Source organism: Homo sapiens, chromosome 7, assembly GCF_000001405.40.
Source record: "Homo sapiens chromosome 7, GRCh38.p14 Primary Assembly".
NCBI lineage: Eukaryota > Metazoa > Chordata > Mammalia > Primates > Hominidae > Homo > Homo sapiens.
The window spans coordinates 65,825,750-65,844,324 of NC_000007.14; the positions used below are offsets into that span (position 1 = coordinate 65,825,750).

Consider the following 18,575-nt stretch of genomic DNA (forward strand, 5'->3'; position numbering starts at 1 on the left):
CTCCTGAGAATCTGGGGAGTCAAGGAAGGCTTCCAGGAGGAGATGATGCCAAAGCAGACAAGTGACAGAGGAGCCAAAGCTAGCCAGGAAGAGAGTAGAGATTTAAGGGGAAGCATATTCTAAGCAGAGGGCATCACCCACTTCAGAGGCTCCCAGAGGAGAGAGAGTGGGCATTCAAGGTGCAGATGAGGCTCAGTTGGACTCTACAGCAGGTAAAATGGAGAGGGGCAAGCAGTGAGGCTGCCTTGCAAGGCAGGGTAGAGCAGGGGTTTGGACTTAATACCCAAGGCAAGGAGAAGTGATGTAAATGGGGGAGGAGTAATGTGATGAGATTCATGGATTAGAGACGTGGCCCAGGCTGCTGTGTGGAGAAGGCACCAGGGAAAGCAGATGGCTCAGTGGGTGTGCTGGAGACCTAAAGCAGGGGAAACACTGAGTTTAGGGAGAGGTTTTTTTTTTAAATATAAGAAGTTTGATTAGTTTAAATGATGGTGAAGGAGCTAAAAGGGGGGGATAGGTAATGATACAGGGAAGTGGGAGGAAGAACTGACAAGTGAGGTTCCAGAGAGGGCGGGAGAAGTAGGGGGATCAGCACTTTCTTTTCTTTTCTTTTTCTTTCTAAGACAGGGTCTCACTATCTCCCAGGAGTGCAATGGCATGATCTTGGCTCATTGTAGCCTAGACTTCCCAGGCTCAATGGGTCCTCCCACCCCAGACTCCAAGTAGCTGGAACAACAGGTGTGCACCGCCACCACACCTGGCTAACTTCTTTCTTTTTTTGGTAGACACAGGGTCTCACTATGTTGTACAGGCTGGTCTCCAACTCCAGGCCTTGAGCGATCCTCCTGCCTAGTCTTCCCAAATTGCTGAGATTACAGGCTTGAGCCACCATGCCTGGCCTCTGCTAGTTCTGTATTCTCTCGAGTCGTCTTTACTTTGTGCTGTTTTGTCCCTCATTATGCTGATCCTCTATTAAAATTAATACTTTTTTTTTTTCAGATGGAGTTTCACTCTTGTTGCCCAAGCTGGAGGGCAATGGTGTGATCTCGGCTCACTGCAACCTCCGCCTCTCAGTTTCAAGCGATTCTTCTGCCTCAGCCTCCCAAGTAGCTGAAATCACAGGCATGTGCCACCACGCCCAGCTAATTTTGTATTTTTAATAGAGGCGGTGTTTCTCCATGTTGGTCAAGCTGGTCTCAAACTCCCGACCTCAGGTGATCTGCCTGCTTCAGCCTCCCAAAGTCCTGGGATTACAGGCGTGAGTCACCACGCCCAGCCAAAATTTAATACTTTTTATATTAAAATTACATATATATATTCTTACTTTTATTTTTTGATACTGGCTTTCACTCTGTCACCCAGGCTGGAGTGCAGTGGCACAATCTCTGCTCACTTCAACCTTCACTTACCAGGCTCAAGCAATTCTGCCTCAGACTCCCGAGTAGCTGGGATTACAGGTATGTACCACCACACCCGGCTAATTTTTGTGTTTTTTGTAGAGATGGGGTTTCACCCTAATTCCCAGGCTGGTCTCAAACTCCTGAGCTCAAAGCGATCCACCCGCCTTGGCCTCCCAAAGTGCTAGAATTACAGGTTTGAGCCACCTTGCCCATTCTAGTTTAAACTTTTGAATGGTTTATATCTCCTGATTGGACTCCTACAAATACAGAATTGATGCTAGGAAGGGTACCAGGAGATAGACCCACACAGATGGGATTTGGGCACAGGTTTGGTTATCCAAGGAGCAGAGCTGAGCTCCTTGCCAATGGGACACGGGATGCTGGTGATTTCCAGGAACTGACCTCACAATGACTCAAGCTACCACTTATTGTTGATTGTGATGAAATGCTAGCTGAAGCATATGCCCTGCAAGCTTAGGGGTGCTACACTTGACCACGGCGGCAGTAAAGATGACTCTGAAGAATGGCATGGGATGGATCCTTTTGAATGCACTCAAGCAGGGGTCTCCAACCACAGGTCCATAGAGCCGGAGGTGAGCAGCGGGCGAGTGAGGGGAAACTTCATCTATATTTATAGCCCCTCCCATCGCTCCCATGACCACCTGAGCGCCATGTCCTGTCAGATCAGCAGCAGCATTAGATTCTCATAGGAGCACGAACCCTGTTGTGAACTGTGCATGTGAGGGATCTAGGTTGCACGCTCCTTGTGAGAATCTAATGGCTGATGATCTGTCACTGTCTCCCGTCACCCCAGTTGAACAGTCTTGATGCAGGAAAACAAGCTCAGAGATCCCACTGATTCTACATTATAGTGAGTTGTATAATTATTTCATTATATATTACAATGTAATAATAATAGAAATAAAGTGCACAATATATGTAATGCACTTGAATCATCCCAAAATCATTTCCTTCACCCCGAGTCTGTGGAAAAATTGTCTTCCACAAATTCACTCTGTTTTTTTGGTAGAGACAGGGTCTTAATATGTTGCCCAGGCTGATCTCAAACTGCTTGCCTCAAGTAATATATCCCTCTCAGCCTCCCAAAGTGCTGAGATTGTAGGCATAAGCCACTATGCTCAACCAAGACTGAGTTTCTTAAACCAAATAAAGATTAAGTGAGATTACCTGAGCCCAGGTGGTTGAGGCTGCAGTGAGCCCTGATTACACCACTGCTCTCCAGCCTAGGTAACAGAATGAGACTCTGTCTCAAAAAATAAAATAAAATAAAGTACGATAACATATAAATTAACCCTTTATAACATTCCCAGTAACTTTTCCTCCTAAGTGTTCCCCACAAGCCTTTGAATTTTGTTAAATTTTCACATACCATTTAAACCGTTTAAGAACTTATGTCTGTCTGTGTCATCCCTCTTTTTCAAAAGAATGTCTTTTTGTCACTTCCAGCTGAATCTACCATGAAAGACTTCAGAATCCAGGAAGAGAGACTGACTGGGCAACATCTTATTCAGGTACAAAAAGACTTGGACTATAACTCAAAAATGATCAAATAATAGTGCATGCCTCAAGTGCAATGGGAAGCTCTTCTGAAGGGTGAGAGAAGCTTCCAGTTAAGGTAACACTGAAGCTGGGTCCTGAAAGATGAGGAAGAGTTGTATGAGAGTGGGGAGGGAAGGGGGAGGTGGAGGGATGGGGAATGGGCTGGGATGGGATGGAGTGAGCTGCCCAGGCAGGTAAACCAGCACTGTAAAGACCTGGACAATGAAGATGGCACATTTTATTCAGGGAATGGTGAATTAAGTGTGGCAGGAATGCTTTGGAGAGACAGTAATTTGCTTGTATGGAATTTTGCCCAAGAGACCTCATTACAGTTTCTAATCTGTTAATGTTATCATGCATCCCTGTCCTGGTCAAATAGTTTAGAATAGGTATAATGATCACAATAACACCAATCATAGTATTTCATTAGTTCTCACAAAATCACAGGTAGGTGCCACAGTTATCCCCATTTTGTGAATGAAGTGATGAAGACTTAGGAATAATGAGTGATTTGCCCAAGCTCACCTGGATATTAAGACTGAGTCAAATGTCGGGTCTGGTCTGACTTTAATGTTTGCTTTGTTCATGAGCACCACGTATTGCCTCTCCTATGCAGTGAAGCAGGTAGACAGGTGAAAGAAAAGCCCATGTTAGTCTCTACTCACACACTTCTGACTGAATGTGTGTGTGGAGTTTCTACACCAAGTTCTCCAATGCTCTGGATATTAACTGGGTATCCCACAATTTTATTCTGACACTACCTGGAGTTGACACAGACCCCACAGGTTAGGGTCTCAGTACCACGAGACCACCCTCATTTCAGATGCCAATGCAAGTCCTAGGTTGTTACCTGTACTTTTGACCAACCTGTTACAAATCGGGGTTCCCATGACCCTCTTCTTGGGTTTAATAATTTGCTAGAACAGTTTACAGAACTCAAAAAAACAGTTTATTTTATTTTTTTCTTAGAGACAGGGTCTCATTTTGTTGTCCAGGCTGGTGTGCAGTGGTGCAGTCATAGCTCACTGCAGCCTGGACTGCCTGGGTTCAAGTGGTCCTCCCACCTCAGCCTCCCTAGTAGCTGAGACTACACACCTGCACCACTACATCTGGCTAATTTCTTTTATTTTTTGTAGAGATGGGGTCTTGTTGTGTTGCCCAGTCTGGCCACAAATTCCTGGGCTCAAGCGATCCTCCCACCTCAGCCTCTTAAAGTGCTGGGATTACAGATGTGAGCCACCACATCTGGCCAGTTCATTTCCTATTACAGGTTCATTGTAAAGGATACATCTCAGAAACAGCCAATGAAAGAGATGTACATGCTGGATGTTGTGACTCACGCCTGTAATCCCAGCACTTTGGGAGGCTGAGGTGGGAGGATTGCTTAAATTCAGGAGTTTGAGACCAGCCTGGGCAACATGGTGAAAACCTGTCTCTACAAAAAAAAAAAAAAAGCCGGGTGTGGTGTTGTGTACCTATAGTTCTAGCTACTAGGGAAGCTGAGGTGAGAGGATGCCTTGAGCTGGGGACTGGGGAGGCTTAGGTTGTAGTAAGCTGAGATTGTGCCACTGTACTCTAGCCTGGACAAAAGAGCCAGACCCTGTCTCAAAAAAAAGAAAAGAAAGATGCCCAGGGCAGGGTAACTTTGGGAGCACAGAGCTCCCATGCCCTCTGTTGAACATGCTACCCTCCCAGAATCTCCTGCGTTCAACAACCCCAGAAGCTCTGCAAACCCTGTTGTTCAGGGTGTTTATGGAGGCTTTATCATGCAAGCACGATTGATAAAATCTTTGGCAGTTGGTGATTAAGTCAATCTCCAGCCCCTCTTCCTCCTGGAGTTCAGTGCATGAGGCTGAAAGTTCCAAGCCTCTAATCATGTGGTTGCTTTTTCCGGCAATCAGTCCTCCTCCTGAAAAAATCTAGGAGCTTGCAGTCACCCAGTCATCTCAACAACATCACCAAATGCATTCTTGTCATGCTGGAGATCCCAAAGTTCTTAAAGGCTCTTGTGTCAGAAACCTGGGACCAAGACCAAATATTAAAACAAAAGATGCTCCTATCACCTCTAACACTGAGGTCTTTATAAGGGCTTTAGAAGCCCTCTACCAGGAACCAGGGACAGAGACCAGATATATATTTCTTTTGTTTTCTTTTTTTGAGGCGGAATCTCCCTGTGTCATCCAGGCTGGAGTGCAGCGATGTGATCATAGCTCACTATAGCTTTGACCTCCTGAGCTCAAGCAATCCTCCTACCTCAGCCTCCCAAGTAGCTGGGACTACACGTGCATGTCACCCATGCCCAGCTCATCTTTGTAGAGATGAAATTTAGTTATGTCGCCCAGGCTGATCTCAAACTCCTGGGCTAAAGTGATCGTCTTACCTCAGCCTCTCAAGTAGCTGGGACTACAGGCACACACCACATCCAGCTCACATTTATTTTCATTTTTTTCTAGAGGTGGGGTCTCTCTATGTTGTTCAGGCTAGTTTCAAACTTTGGGTCTCAGATGTTCCTTCTGCCTTGGTCTCCCAAATTGTTGCGATTATGTGTGGCAGCCACCATGCCCAGCAATCACAAGAGTCTTTATAAAAGAAAGAGGGTAGGAGAGTCAGAATTGGAGCAGGAGATGTGGTGATGGAAGCAGAGGTCAGAGAGGGAGATTTGAAGATGCTTCACTTCTGGCTTTGAAGATGGAGTCAGGGGCCATGATCCAAGGAATGGGGGTGGCTTCTAGAAGCTGGAAAAGCCAAGGAAACACTTTAGAGCCTTCAAAAGGAATGCAGCCCTGCTGACACCTTGACTTTAGCCTTAATAAATCTAGTTTGGGCTTCTGGCCCCCAGAACTGTAAGATGGTAGATTTGTAGTGTTTTAAGCCACTAAATTTAGGAAATTGCAAACTATGTTGCAGCAGCAAGAAGAAAGGAACATGAAGCCAGGCATGGTGGCTTATGCCAGCAATCCGTAGGAATTTTAGGCAGGAGGATCACTTGAGGCCAGGAATTCAAGACCAGCCTATGCAACACAGTGAGACCTTGTGTCTACTAAAAAAAAAAAAAAAAAAAAAATTGGCCAGGCGCGGTGGCTTATGCCTGTAATCCCAGCACTTTGGAAGGCCGAGGTGGGTGGATCACCTGAGGTCAGGCGTTCAAGACCAGCCTGGCCAACATTGCAAAACCCCATTTCTACTAAAAATACAAAAACTAGCCGGGCATGGTGGCACATGCCTGTGATCCCAGCTACTTGGGAGGTTGAGGCAGGAGAATTACTTGAATCTTGGAGGTAGAAGTTGCAGTGAGCCAGGATCACACTATTGCACTTCAGCCTGGGCAAGAAGAGTGCAACTCCATCTCAAAATAAAATAAAATAAAATACTAAAAAAATTAGCCAGGCATGATGGTATGCACCTGTAGTCCCTGCTACTAGGGAGGCTGAGGTGGGAGGATCGCTTGAGCCTGGGAATTTGAGGTTGCAGTGAGCTGTGATTGTGCCACTGCACTCCAACCTTGGTAACAAGAGTGAGATCTTGTCAAAAAAATGAAGGGAGGTGGGGGGAGGGAGGGAGGACAGGGGAGGGGAGGGGAGGGAAGAAAAGAAAGAAGGAGGGAAGAAATTAGCATGGTGGGCATGGGGACAGATGGCAATGTTAAATAGTATGATCAGGAGTGGCCTCCTAAGTGAAAATTAAGCCAAGACTTGAAGGAGGGCAAGGAGCTGGCCAAGGTGCTGAGGGAAGAGGATTGTGGGCAGAAACAACTGAATAAACTGTCTGAGGTGTGTCTGAGGCTCTGGAAGGAGGCCAGTGGAGCAGAAGGAAAGAGGGAGAGAATTAGGGCAGGAGGCCAGGGAGTTGCTGGGCAGGGATCAGTACAGACTGTGTAAGCCCTGGGAGGTTATTGCTGGGCCAGATAGGAAATTGAAGAGGGTTCTGAGCAGAGAGGCGACATGATCTGTCTGCCGATTTAAAAGCATTCTCTGGCTGCTGAGTTGAGAAAGACTGTGGGAAGATTTGGGTAGAAGCATGGGGGCCAAGCTGTGGCAACATCCAGGCGGAAGATGATAGTAGTCTTGACCAGGGTCATGGTGGTGTTGAGAGATGGTCAGAGGAGAGAAGTAGGAGAGGAGGCCAGGGAGTCGGTGGGTGGGGATCTTCAGTATGTGTTGAAGACAGTCAACAGGATTTCCTGACAGACTGGATGTGGGGTGTAAGAGAAGGCAGGGGTCAAGGTTGAGTTAGATTCTTACTGAATTATGAAGTAATTTTAAAAACGACTACTGCCTTTCTCAATCCTGTCAAGTATGGGATGCTAGATTAAAGAAATCTCTTCAGGCTCAGTACAGTGGCTCATGCCTGTAGTCCCAGCTGTTTGGAAAGCAGAAATGGGAGTATCTTTTAAGGACAGGAATTCAAGACCAGCCTGGGCAACATAGCAAGACCTCCTCTCTACAAAAATATTTTTCTTTTTTTTTCTTTTTGAGATGGAGTTTTGCTCTTGTTGCCCAGGCGGGAGTGCAATGGCTCAATCTCGGCTCACCGCAACCTCCACCTCCTGGGTTCAAGCGATTCTCCTGGGTTCAAGTGATTCTCCTGCCACCTCAGCCTTCCTGAGTAGCTGGGATTACGGGCATGCACCACCACGCCTGGCTAATTTGGTATTTTTAGTAGAGACGGGGTTTCTCCATGTTGGTCAGGCTGGTCTCGAATTCCCAACCTCAGGTGATCTGCCCACCTCGGCCTCCCAAAGTGCTGGGATTACAGGCATGAGCCACCACACCCGGCCAAAAATATTTTTCAATATTTAATAAAATAAAATAAATGTAGCTACGCATGGTGATATGTACTTGTAGTCACAGCTACTCAGGAGGCTGAGGTGGGCAGATCTCTTGAGGTGTCAGGAGTTTGAGGCCAGCTTGGGCAACGTAGCAAGACCCCTCACTCTACAAAAAATTTAAAAAATAGCCAGGTATGGTGGCACTCAACGCTAGTACCAGCTACTGGGGAGCTGAGGCAGGAAAATGGCTTGAGCCCAGGAGGTCGACCCTGCAGTGAGCTACAAGTGCATAGCCACATTCCAATCTGGGTGACAGAGCAGGACCTGTCTCACAACACAAATAGAAATACAAATAAAATAATAAAATCTCAAGTCAGAGACTTTTGTCTCTGCAGCCCTTGCAACCCCAGAGCCGTGCAGTGGGGTTTGTGTCACTGGGAATGAGGAGACCCTTGCCCAGTGTTGTTGCCTGACTAATCAGTGTTTTAAAAAATATATTAATCAGGGTGGGCACAGTGGCTCATGCCTGTAATCCCGGCACTTTGGGAGAGCCAGGCGGGTGGATCACCTGAGGTCAGGAGTTCAAGACTAGCCTGGCCAACATGGCAAAACTCTGTCTCTACTAAAAAAATACAAAAATTAGCCAGGCATGGTGGCAGGCGTCTGTAATCCCAGCTACTCGGGAAGCTGAAGCAGGAGAATCACTTGAACCTGGGGGGCAGAGGTTATGGTGAGCCGCGATCACGCCACTTCACTCCAGCCTGGATGAAAGAACGAGACTCCGTCTCAAAAAAAAAAAGTATTATATCAACATGTAATTGTTTTATTATTAATATTTAATGAATAATAAAATTTTTTTTTTTCAAGACAGAGTCTCACTCTGTCACCAGGCTGGTATGCAGTGGTGCGATCTCAGCTCACTGCAACCTCCGCCTCCTGGGTTGAAACGATTCTCCTGCCTCAGCCTCCCGAGTAGCTGGATTACAGGCGTGTGCCACCACGCCCACCTAATATTTGTATTTTTAATAGAGGCGGGGTTTCACCATGTTGGCCAGGATGGTCTTGATCTCTTGACCTTGTGACCCGCCCACCTCGGCCTCCCAAAGTGCTAGGATTACAGGCATGAGCCACTGCGCCTGGCCAAATATTTTAAAAATTTTGTCTTGTATTACTTATATCAACATGTAATAGTTTTATTATTATGTAATGAATATTTTTAAAATTTTGTCTTATTTTCTAATTTTAATATAATTATTTATATAAAGAAAAAGTCTTAGAGATCTTCAATAAAGTTAAAAAATGTAAAGGGATGCTAGACCCCGAAAGATTGAGAACTTCTAGTTTAGAAATATTCAGAATAAGCCACATACAACTTGCACTTGGTCTATTTTCTTTCTTTCTTTTTTGTTTTAGTAGATGGGATCTCACCCTGTCACCCAGGCTGGAGTACAGTGGTGCAATCACAGCTCACTGCAGCCTTGAACTCCTGGGCTAAGGATCCTCCTGCCTCAGCTTCCTGAGTAGCTGGGACCGTAGGTATACATGATGACATCTGGCTAATTTTTAAATTATTTTGTAGACATGGGGTCTCACTTTGTTGGCCAGGCTGGTGTCAAACTCCTGGCCTCAAGTGACCCTTCTACCCCTGCCTTCCATCCTAGAGGTATGAGCCACCACAAGGAGCACTTGTTCAATTTTCTAAAAAAATAAAAAAATTCTAAAGTAAGGCTATGAGATGATGGCAGGAAGATAAAAGTAGAAAAACAGAAGAATAAGTTCAAATGACTTATTCACACATATTCTTTTGATAGCAATAATAACTTAGTAGATAGATTTCTTTCAAACAGAAAGCAAATAAACAATGTACAGGAACTTCAACACACACTATACAATATTTCCACGTTGCTGACATCAGTTGTGTAAATTCTTCGTGGTTTACTTGACTGTCGCTATCGGTAGTTGGCTTCTCTGATCATTTTTATCAACTTCCTCATCTGTTAACTTCTCTCCAAGGTATGTCATATCATGACATACTGCTGCTGCACGAACATGGCCAGTGTCATTTTATTAAACTCGTAGAATGCTTCACTAATTTCTTTTTTTACCCTCTGTCTCTGTGTTTTGCATTTTTCTTACCTTTATTGTCAGAAACTCCAGAAAGTCAATCATACTAATTCATCACCATTTGCTTCATTAATTTATACTTTGCTTATATGGAATTTTGCCCAACAGACCTCACTACAATTTCTAACCCATTTTTTGTTTTTTTGTTTTGTTTTTTTCTGACACAGGGTCTTGCTCTGTTGTCCAGGCTGGAGTGTAGTGGTGCCATCACAGCTGACTGCAGCCTCAACCTCCCAGGTTCAAGTGATCCTCCCACCTCAGCCTCCTAAGTGGCTGAGACTATAGGTGCTTGGTACTGTGCCCAACTAATATTTGGACTTTTCCTATATGTGGGTTCCAGAGGGCTGACTGTGAAATGTGAGTATGCATGGATTTTGGTATATGCAGAGATGGGGGGCTGGAACTAATCCTCTCTGTATACCGAGGGATGACTGTATATGTTTTTACAATTATGCTGTATGACACATATTGTTCCATAGCCTTGAAAATGATAATTTTTAATGAAAATTATTTTTAATTGAGAGGAATAATAATAAAAGTAGCAGCTGGCCAGGTGTGGTGGCTCACACCAGTAATCACAACACTTTCGGAGGCTGAGGTAGGAGGATGGCTTGAGGCCAAGAGTTTGAGACAGGCCTCGGAAACCAAAGGAGACACCATCCCTACAGAAAAGTACATGAATTATCCTAGTGTGGTGACATGTTCCTGTAGTCCCAGCTACTTGGGAGGCTGCTGTGGGAAGATCACTTGAGTCCAAGGAGGTTGAGACTGCAGTGAGTCGTGATCAGGCCTCTGCACTCCAGCCTGGGTGACAGAGTGAGACCCTGTCTCAAAGCAACAAAAAAGTAGCAGCTAACATTAACTGACCTTTTACCAGGTGCCTATAAATACCATAGTATAATTTCTTATAACTGTTTCTTACTTAACTTAACCACTCTGTTTTCAATTACTCCCAGAATTTCACTGTGTTTATGCAGATGACCTTTTGTTTAGATTGAATTGTCTCCCCAAGGTATTTCCAGAAGTAAGATTACTGTGAGTCATGGTGAATGGGCATTCTCATTGCCCTTGATGTACATTGACAAGGTTTTGGGTGCCTCCTGGCTATAATCCCAGCCCTTTGGAGGCTAAGACAGGAGGATTGCTTGAGGCCAAGAGTTGGAGGAGGCAGTAAGGTGAGACCCTGTCTCTATTATTTTAAAAAATTGCCAACCTTTACCTTGGAAGACTATGTACAATTTAAACACCCCTCCTAGTATAAGAAAGTGTCCATTTCACTGCACCTTTGCCTGCACAGGGTATTATAATTTAATAAGTTATTTTTTGTTTGATTATTTTAAATAGATAAAATACCGCATATTACTTGGTCACATTTCAGCATCTTCCCTTAGCTTATTAGCTCTATTTCTTTTCTGTCTGTAAATGGTTGTTGTTGTTGTCGTTTTGTTGTTTTGTTTGAGACGGGGTCTTGCTGTGTCACCCAGGCTTGACTGTAGTGGCATAATCATGACTCACTGTAGCCTTGACCTCCCAGGCTCAAACTATTCTCTTACTTCAGCTTCCTGAGTAGCTGGGACTACAAGTGTGCACCACCACTCCCAGCTAATTTTTTTCTTTTTTTGGATAGAGACAGGGTCTCACTGTGTTGTCCAGGCCAATCTCTAGCTCCCGGCCTCAATCAGTCCTCCTGTGTTGGCTTCTTAAATTGCTGGAATTTCAGGCATGAGCCACCATGCCTGGCCTGGGCTAGTCCTATATTCTCTGGAGTTCTCTTTACTTTGTGCTAGCCAGTCTCTCATTATGCTGTTCCCCTGTTACAATGAATAATTCTCTGTATTAAATTTACCACTTTAAACTTTTGAGTGGTTTATGTCTCCTGGTTGGACTCTAATATGCTAAGAAGGGTCCCTGGAGATAGACTCACACAGATGGGATTTGGGGATAGGTTTGGTTATCCAAGGGGCAGTGCTGAGCTCCTTGCCAATGGGAAACGGAATGCTGGTGATTTCCAGGAAGTGACCTCACAATGACTCAAGCTACTGCTTACTGTTGATTGTGATGAAATGCCAGCTGAGGCACATGCCTTGGGAGCTAAGTGGTTGCTGCACTTGACCGCTATGAAGACTGGTGTGGGAATGGTCCTTTTGGATGCACTTCAGCAGGGGTCCCCAACCCCTGAGCCATGGAGCTGTAAGGAGCCACACAGCAGGAGGTGAGTGGTGTTGAGTGAGGGAAGCTGCATCTGTATTTACAGCCACTCCCCATTGCTCACATTCCCGCCTGAGCTCCGCCTTCTCTCAGATCAGCAGCAGCATTAGATTCTCATAGGAGCATGCATCCTATGCAAACCGTGCATGCGAGAGATCTGGGTTGTGCTGTCCCTATGAGAATCTAATACCTGATTATCTGTCACTTTCTTCCATCAATTCAGATGGGACCATCTTGTTGCAGGAAAATAAGCTTAACATGTCCACTGATTCTACATTATGGTGAGTTCTATAATTATTTCATTATATACTACAATGTAATAATGGAAATAAAGTGCCTAATAAATGTAATGCGCTTGAATCTTTTGGCTCAGCTCCTGCCTCCCGGCAGCCTCTCCAGGTCCAGAACTTTCTCCAGTCGGCCTCTACGGGCCAAGCTTGTGGCTCACAATGGCCTATTTAGGCCCATACCCTACCTCATGGCAGTCTCCACAGATGAGGCTGCTGCCTCATGGCAGCCCCCACAGGCCCAGCTCCATCATTACAATGGCCTCTTTAGGCCCAACTCCTGCCTCCCAGCCTTCTCTCCAGGCCCAGAGAGAAGGTTCTCAAGTCAACCTCACCAGGCCCAGCTACTGCCTCTCATCAGCCTCCCAAGGGCCATCTTTTGCCTCACAGCCACCTTCCAAGACTCAGCTCCTGTTTTACAGTGGACTCTTGAGGCCCACCTTTTGCCTCCCAGTGGCCTGTACAGGCCCAGCTCCTGCCATACAACAGTCTCTTTAGTCCGAGCTCCTGCCTCTGGGCAGCCTATACAGGCCCAAAATGTCCATAAGTCAGCCTCTCAAGGCCAAGCTCCTGCCTTCTTCCGTTGGCCTCTCCAGACCCAGCTGCTGCCTCCAGGTGGCCTCTAAAGGCTGAGGTTTCTCCTGGCTGTGCCTGGAGGCCCAGCTCCTGCCTCACAACAACCTCTTTTGGTTCAGCTCCTGCCCAGCTCCTGGTGGCCTTTGTAGGCCCAAAACTGCCTCAAGTCAAGCTCTCCAGACCCACCTTCTGCCTCCCAATGGCCTGGACAGGCCCAGCTCCTGTGTGACAACAGCATCTCCAGGCCCAGCTCTTGCCTCCCAGCTGACTCTCCAGGCCCAGCTTTTGCCTCACGGAGGTCTTCCCTGAACAAGTTTCTACCTGCCTCCCGGCAGCCTCGACAGGCCCAGGTCCTGCCTCACACTAACCTCATTACGCCCAGCTCATGCCTCACGGCAGCCTCTCCAGGCCCAGCTCCTGCCTCCGACGGGCTGTCCAGGCCCAAAACTTCCTCAAGTCGCCTCTTCAGGCACAGCTCCTGCCTAACACTGGCCTCTTTAGGCACAGCTCATGCCTCTCAGTGGCCTCTCCAGGCCCAGCTCCCGCATCCCGGTGGCTTCTCCAGACTGAGAACTTTCTCAAGTCTGCCATTTCAGCCCAAACTCCTGCCTCCCATTGGCCTCTACAGGCCCAACCTCTGCCTCACAGCAGACTTTCCAGGCCCAGTATCTGCCTCACCACAGCCTCCCAGGCAAAGCTCCTGCCTTTCGGCAGCCTCTACAGGCCTAGCTCCTGCCTCCCAGTGGCCTCTCTAGGCCAAGCTCCTGCCTCATGGTGGCCATTCCGGCCCAGCTTTTGCCTTTTTGCAACCTCTTTAGTCACAGAACTTCCACAAGTGAGCCTCTCCAGGCCCAGTTCTTCCTCCTAGCTGAATCTCCAGGCCCACCTCCTGCCTCACAACAATCTCTTTTGGCTCAGCTCCTGCCCAGCTCCTGGAGGCCTTTGTAGGCCCAAAACTTCCTCACGTCAAGCTCACCAGCACAATCTTCTGCCTCTTGGTAGCCTGGATAGGCCCAGCTCCTGCATGACAATGGCCTTTCCAGGCCCAGCTCTTGCTTCACGGAGGTCATCCCTGGCCAAGTTCCTGCCTACCTCCCAGCAGCCTTGACAGGCCCAGCTCCTGCCTCACACTGGCATCATTAGGCCCAGTTCATGCCTCACGGTGGCCTCTCCAGGCCCAGTTCCTGCCCCTGACAGACTCTCTAGGCCAAAATCTTCCTCAAGTCGGCCTCTCCAGGCCGATCTCTTGTCACACTGGTCTCTTTAGGCCCAGCTCATGCCTCTTGGCAGCCTCTTCAGGCCCAGCTTTTGTGTCCTGGCAGCCTCTCCAGGCCCAGCTCCTGCCTTCTGTCAGCCTCTACGGGCCCAATATCTGCCTCACAGCAGATTCTCCAGGCCCAGCATCTGCCTCACCGTGGCCCCCCACAAGCCAAGCGCCTGCCTTTCAGCAGCCTCTACACACCCAGCTCCTGCCACCCAATGGCTCTTTAGGCCAAGCTCATACCTCACGATGATTTTTCCAGGCCCAACTTTTGTCTCATGGCAACCTTCCCTGGCCAAGTTTCCACCTATTTCCTGGCAGCCTGGACAGGCCCAGGTCCTGCCACACACTGGCCTCTCTACGCCCAGCTCATGCCTCACAGTGGCCTCTCCAGGCCCAGCTCCTGTCCCGGGACATCATCTCCAGGCCCAAAACTTCCTCAAGTCGGCCTCTCCAGGCCCAGTTGCTGCCTCCCGGCATTCTCTCCAGGCCTAGCTCTTCCTCCTGGCTGTATCTACAAGACCAACTCCTGCCTCACAACAACCTTTTATGGCTCAGCTCCTGCCCAACTACTGCCGGCCTTTGTAGGCCCAAAACTTCCTCAAGTCAAGCTCTTTAGGCCCACCTTCTGCCTTGCAGTGGCCTGTACAGACCCAGCTCTGGCTTGAGAACAGCCTCTGCAGGCCCTGCTCTTGCCTCTTAGCTCCCTCTCCAGGCCCATCTCTTGCCTCACAGTGGCTTCCGTGGGCCAAGTTCCCGCCTGCCTCCCAGCAGCCTCAACAGGCCTAGCTCCTCCCTCACAATGGCTTGTTTAGGTCCAGTTGATGCCTCTGGCAACCTGTCCAGGCCCAGCTCCTGCCTCACACTGGCCTCTCTAGGCCGAGGTCCTTTCTCATACTGGCCTGTTTAGGCCCAGCTCATTCCTCTTGTCATCTCTCCAGGCCCAGCTTTTGCCTGTTGTTGGCCTCTACCTCACAGTGCACCTTCCAGTCCCACCTCTTGCCTCACCATGGCCTCCTCTGACCAGGTTCCTGCCTTTCGGCAGCCTCTACAGGCCTAGCTGCTGCCTCCCAATGGCCTTTGTAGGCCACGCTCATGCCTCACTGTGGCCTTTCCAGGCCTAGCTTTCGCTTTTTGGCCACTCCAGGCCCAGAACTTCCCCCAGTCAGCCTCTCCAGGCCCAGCTCTTCCTCCCAGCAACCTCTGCAGGCCCAAATCATCCTCAAATTGGCCTCTTCTTTCCCAGCTCCTGCCTCCTGGTGGCCTCTGAAGACCCAAATCGTCCTCCAGTTGGTTTTTCCAGGCCCAGCTCCTGCCTTTTGGTGGCCTCTCCAGGTGCAAAACTTCCTCCCATCAGCCTGTCCAGGCCCAGCTCATGCCTCTTGGTGGCCTTCTCAGGCCCTGCTTTTGACTTGGTGGCCTCTTCAGGCCCAGAACTTGAACTCAAGTCAGCCTCTCCAGGCCCAGCTCCTGCCTTCTTAAGGTCTGTACAGGCCCAGCCTCTACCTCACAGCGGACTCTCCACACCCAGCTCTTGCCTCACTGTAGCCTCCCCAGTCCAAAACTCCTGCCTTTTGGCAGCTTCGACAAGCCCAGCTCCTGCCTTTCAATGACCTCTTTAGGCCCCGCTCATTCCTTACAACGGCCTTTCCAGGCCCAGTTTTTCCCTTTTGGCGGCCTCTCCAGGCCCAGAACTTCCTCAAGTCGGCCTCTTTAGGCCCAGTTGCTGCCTCCTGGCATCCTCTGCAGGCCGAGCTCTTCCTCCCTGCTGTGTCTACAGGCCCAACTCCTGCCTCACAACAACCTCCTTGGACTCAGCTTCTGCCCAGCTCCTGGTGGCCTTTGTAGGCTCAAAATTTTCTCAAATCAAGCTCTCCAGGCCTACTGTCAGCCTCGTGGCAGCCTAAACAGGCCCAGCTCCTGCCTGACAATGGCCTCTCCAGGCTTTTCTCCTGCCTCGCAGCAGGCTTTCCAGGCCCAGCTCTTGCCTCATGGTGGCCTTCCCCGGCCATGTTCCTATCTGACTTCTGGCAGCCTCAACCGGCCCAGCTTCTGCCTCACACTGGCCTCTCTAGGCCCAGCTCCTTTTTCACAGTGGCCTCACTAGGCCCATCTCCTACCTCAGATCTGCCTCCCAAGACCCAGCTCCTGTCTCATGGTGGTCTCTCTTACACCAGCTCCTGCCTCACAATGGCCTCGTCTGGCCCATCTTCTGCCTCACAGTGGCCACTCAAGGCCCATCTTTTGCCTCATGGTAGCCTCTTCTGGTTTTGCTCTTGCCTCACAGTTGCCTCTTCCAGATCCAGCTTTAAGCCTTTGATGGTCAACAGCATCAAGGAGCCTAAAGCTTCCCTGGACTCTCATTTGTTCACTTTACAGCAGAGTGCCTTAGCAAAAACTGTCTCTTAACCTTGAGAGTGGATTTCTGACAAATCGATAGTAAATTCTGCCTGTGTGGTTTCACAGTGATTTCTGTTTTATTTAGTGTCTCATGGTTTTTCTTGTCTACTGGGGGTGAGGAGGGGAATGGGCTTTTGCTTGGGCCCTTTGTCTTTGCCCTGGACATGGTAGCTTCTCACTTCATGTCTTCTTTTTATATTTTTTATAGTTTTCTTTTTCTTTTATAGTTTTCTTAGACAGGGTCTTGCTCTGTCACCCAGGCTGGAGTGTAGTCATGTGATTATGGCTTACTGCAGACTTGGCCTCTTGGCCTCAAGTGATCCTCCCAACTCAGCATCTTGAGTAGCTGAGACTACAGGCATATGCCACCATGCCTGGCTAATTTCTGATTTTTTCTGAGAGGTTGGTTCTCACTAGGTTGCCCAGGCTGGTCCCAAACTTTTAGACACAAGCAATCTTTTTGCCTGGGCCTCCCAAAGTGCTGAGATTACAAACATGAGCCACCATGCCTGGCTTGCCATTTGCTTGTCATGAACTATTAAGAATTTACTTTTTGATTAATACACTATGACTATATACATTTCTATGTAGAGAGAGATTTTAAATTTTTCTTGGATACCAATTTTTTTCTTTTCTTTTCTTTTTTTTTTTTTTTTTTTGAGGCAAGGTACTGCTTTGTCACTTAGGATGGACTGCAGTGGTGTGATCTCAGCTCACCACAACCTCTGCTTTCTTGGCTTAAGTGATCCTCTCACATCAGCCTCCTGAGTAGCTGGGACCCCAGGTATAAGCTGCCATGCCCAGGTAATTTTTATATTTGTTGTAGAGAGGGGGTCTCACCATGTTTCCCAGGCTGGTTTCAAACTCCTGGGCTCAAGTGATCCTTCCAACTCAGCCTCCCAGAGTGCTGGGATTACAGGTGAGAGCCACACCTGGCCTGCCATTTTCTTTTCAAGGATGATTAAGAATTCACTTTATGCCAGGCACAGTGGCTCATGCTTGTAATCCCAGCAATTTGGGAGGACGACGTGGGTCTATTATGAGGTCAGGAGTTCAAGACCAGCCTGGCCAAGATGGTGAAACCCTGTCTCTACTAAAAATAGAAAAATTAGGTGCCTGTAATCCCAGCTACTCAGGAGGCTGAGGCAGGAGAATCGCTTCAATCTGGGGGGGCAGAGATGGAATTGAGCTGAGATCGAGCCACTGCACTCCACCCTGGGTGACAGAGTGAGACTCCATCTCAAAAAAAAAAAAGAATTTACTTTTTTATTAGTATACTGTAAATATTTATATATGTATGTGTGTGTATATATATTCATATATGTATATATGTGTATATTTTCATAGCATACACATACACACACACATCTATATATTGTGAAAGAGATATTTGAATGCCTAGAAGTTGATAAGCTTCTTCCAGGTTTTGAAACCACCCTTAGCACAAACATGAAAGAAGTACAAAGTATCATTATTAATGACCATGGACCAAGATGACCATGAGTCAATAGTACTTTGCACCTCAACCACCTTCCAGCAGAGCATCTCAAAGGGCTGGATGTATCTGAACATCACACCCTTTCACAGGGACTAGGATGCTTTGTAATTGTTACTTCTCTTAAGACCTCAGTGTGACCCTTGTCAACATGAAATCAAACTATTTCTCAAGTGATAGAGATATTGAATAACAGCTTTGGTCAGGAAATAGGTATTGCATTTGGTTTGTCATGACAAGTTCCTGACCTAGTCAGATGGAATATTGCAGAAATTGTGTGTTTGTGTGTGTGTGTGTGTGTGCGCGTGTGTGAACATTCTTGTGCACAGATGTGGGGGTGGAAGTGGGGTTTGAATTTGATAAGACCAGCAGTGGGCAGGCTGCTGGGAGGGGGCACTTATTTTGGCAGCGGCAGTGTAACTCTAGAATTAACAAATGCTTCTAAGCCTCAGTTTTCTCTCTTGGAAAATAAAGATTATAATTCTTGCCTTGATAT

The 18,575-nt window shown here is 47.7% G+C and overlaps 2 long non-coding RNA genes across 4 annotated transcripts, besides 1 other annotated feature; both read left to right on the forward strand.

Moving 5' to 3' along the window:
- The first annotated feature begins 1,254 nt into the window (after window positions 1-1,254).
- On the forward strand, window positions 1,255-9,264 carry LOC124901659 (uncharacterized). 3 transcript variants are annotated; one of them, XR_007060364.1, is made up of 4 exons: window positions 1,255-1,457; window positions 1,853-1,993; window positions 2,868-2,932; window positions 9,142-9,264. It is a non-coding gene; the product is annotated as an uncharacterized LOC124901659 (long non-coding RNA). The 3 variants fall into 3 exon arrangements; XR_007060362.1 differs by having other exon boundaries at window positions 1,410-1,457; window positions 1,795-1,993; window positions 9,142-9,181; XR_007060363.1 differs by having other exon boundaries at window positions 1,410-1,457; window positions 1,795-1,993; window positions 9,145-9,179.
- Window positions 13,293-13,804: an enhancer, noted in NCBI's record as "H3K27ac-H3K4me1 hESC enhancer chr7:65304029-65304540 (GRCh37/hg19 assembly coordinates)". NCBI's record gives its function as "activates a minimal SCP1, AML or CMV promoter by ChIP-STARR-seq in naive H9 embryonic stem cells {active_cell/tissue: H9 hESC(naive)}" and the evidence as "EXISTENCE:reporter gene assay evidence [ECO:0000049][PMID:30033119]".
- On the forward strand, window positions 13,955-16,653 carry LINC03129 (long intergenic non-protein coding RNA 3129; the record flags this gene model as incomplete). Its single annotated transcript, XR_002956508.2, has 1 exon — window positions 13,955-16,653. It is a non-coding gene; the product is annotated as a long intergenic non-protein coding RNA 3129 (long non-coding RNA).
- Window positions 16,654-18,575: the final 1,922 nt, after the last annotated feature.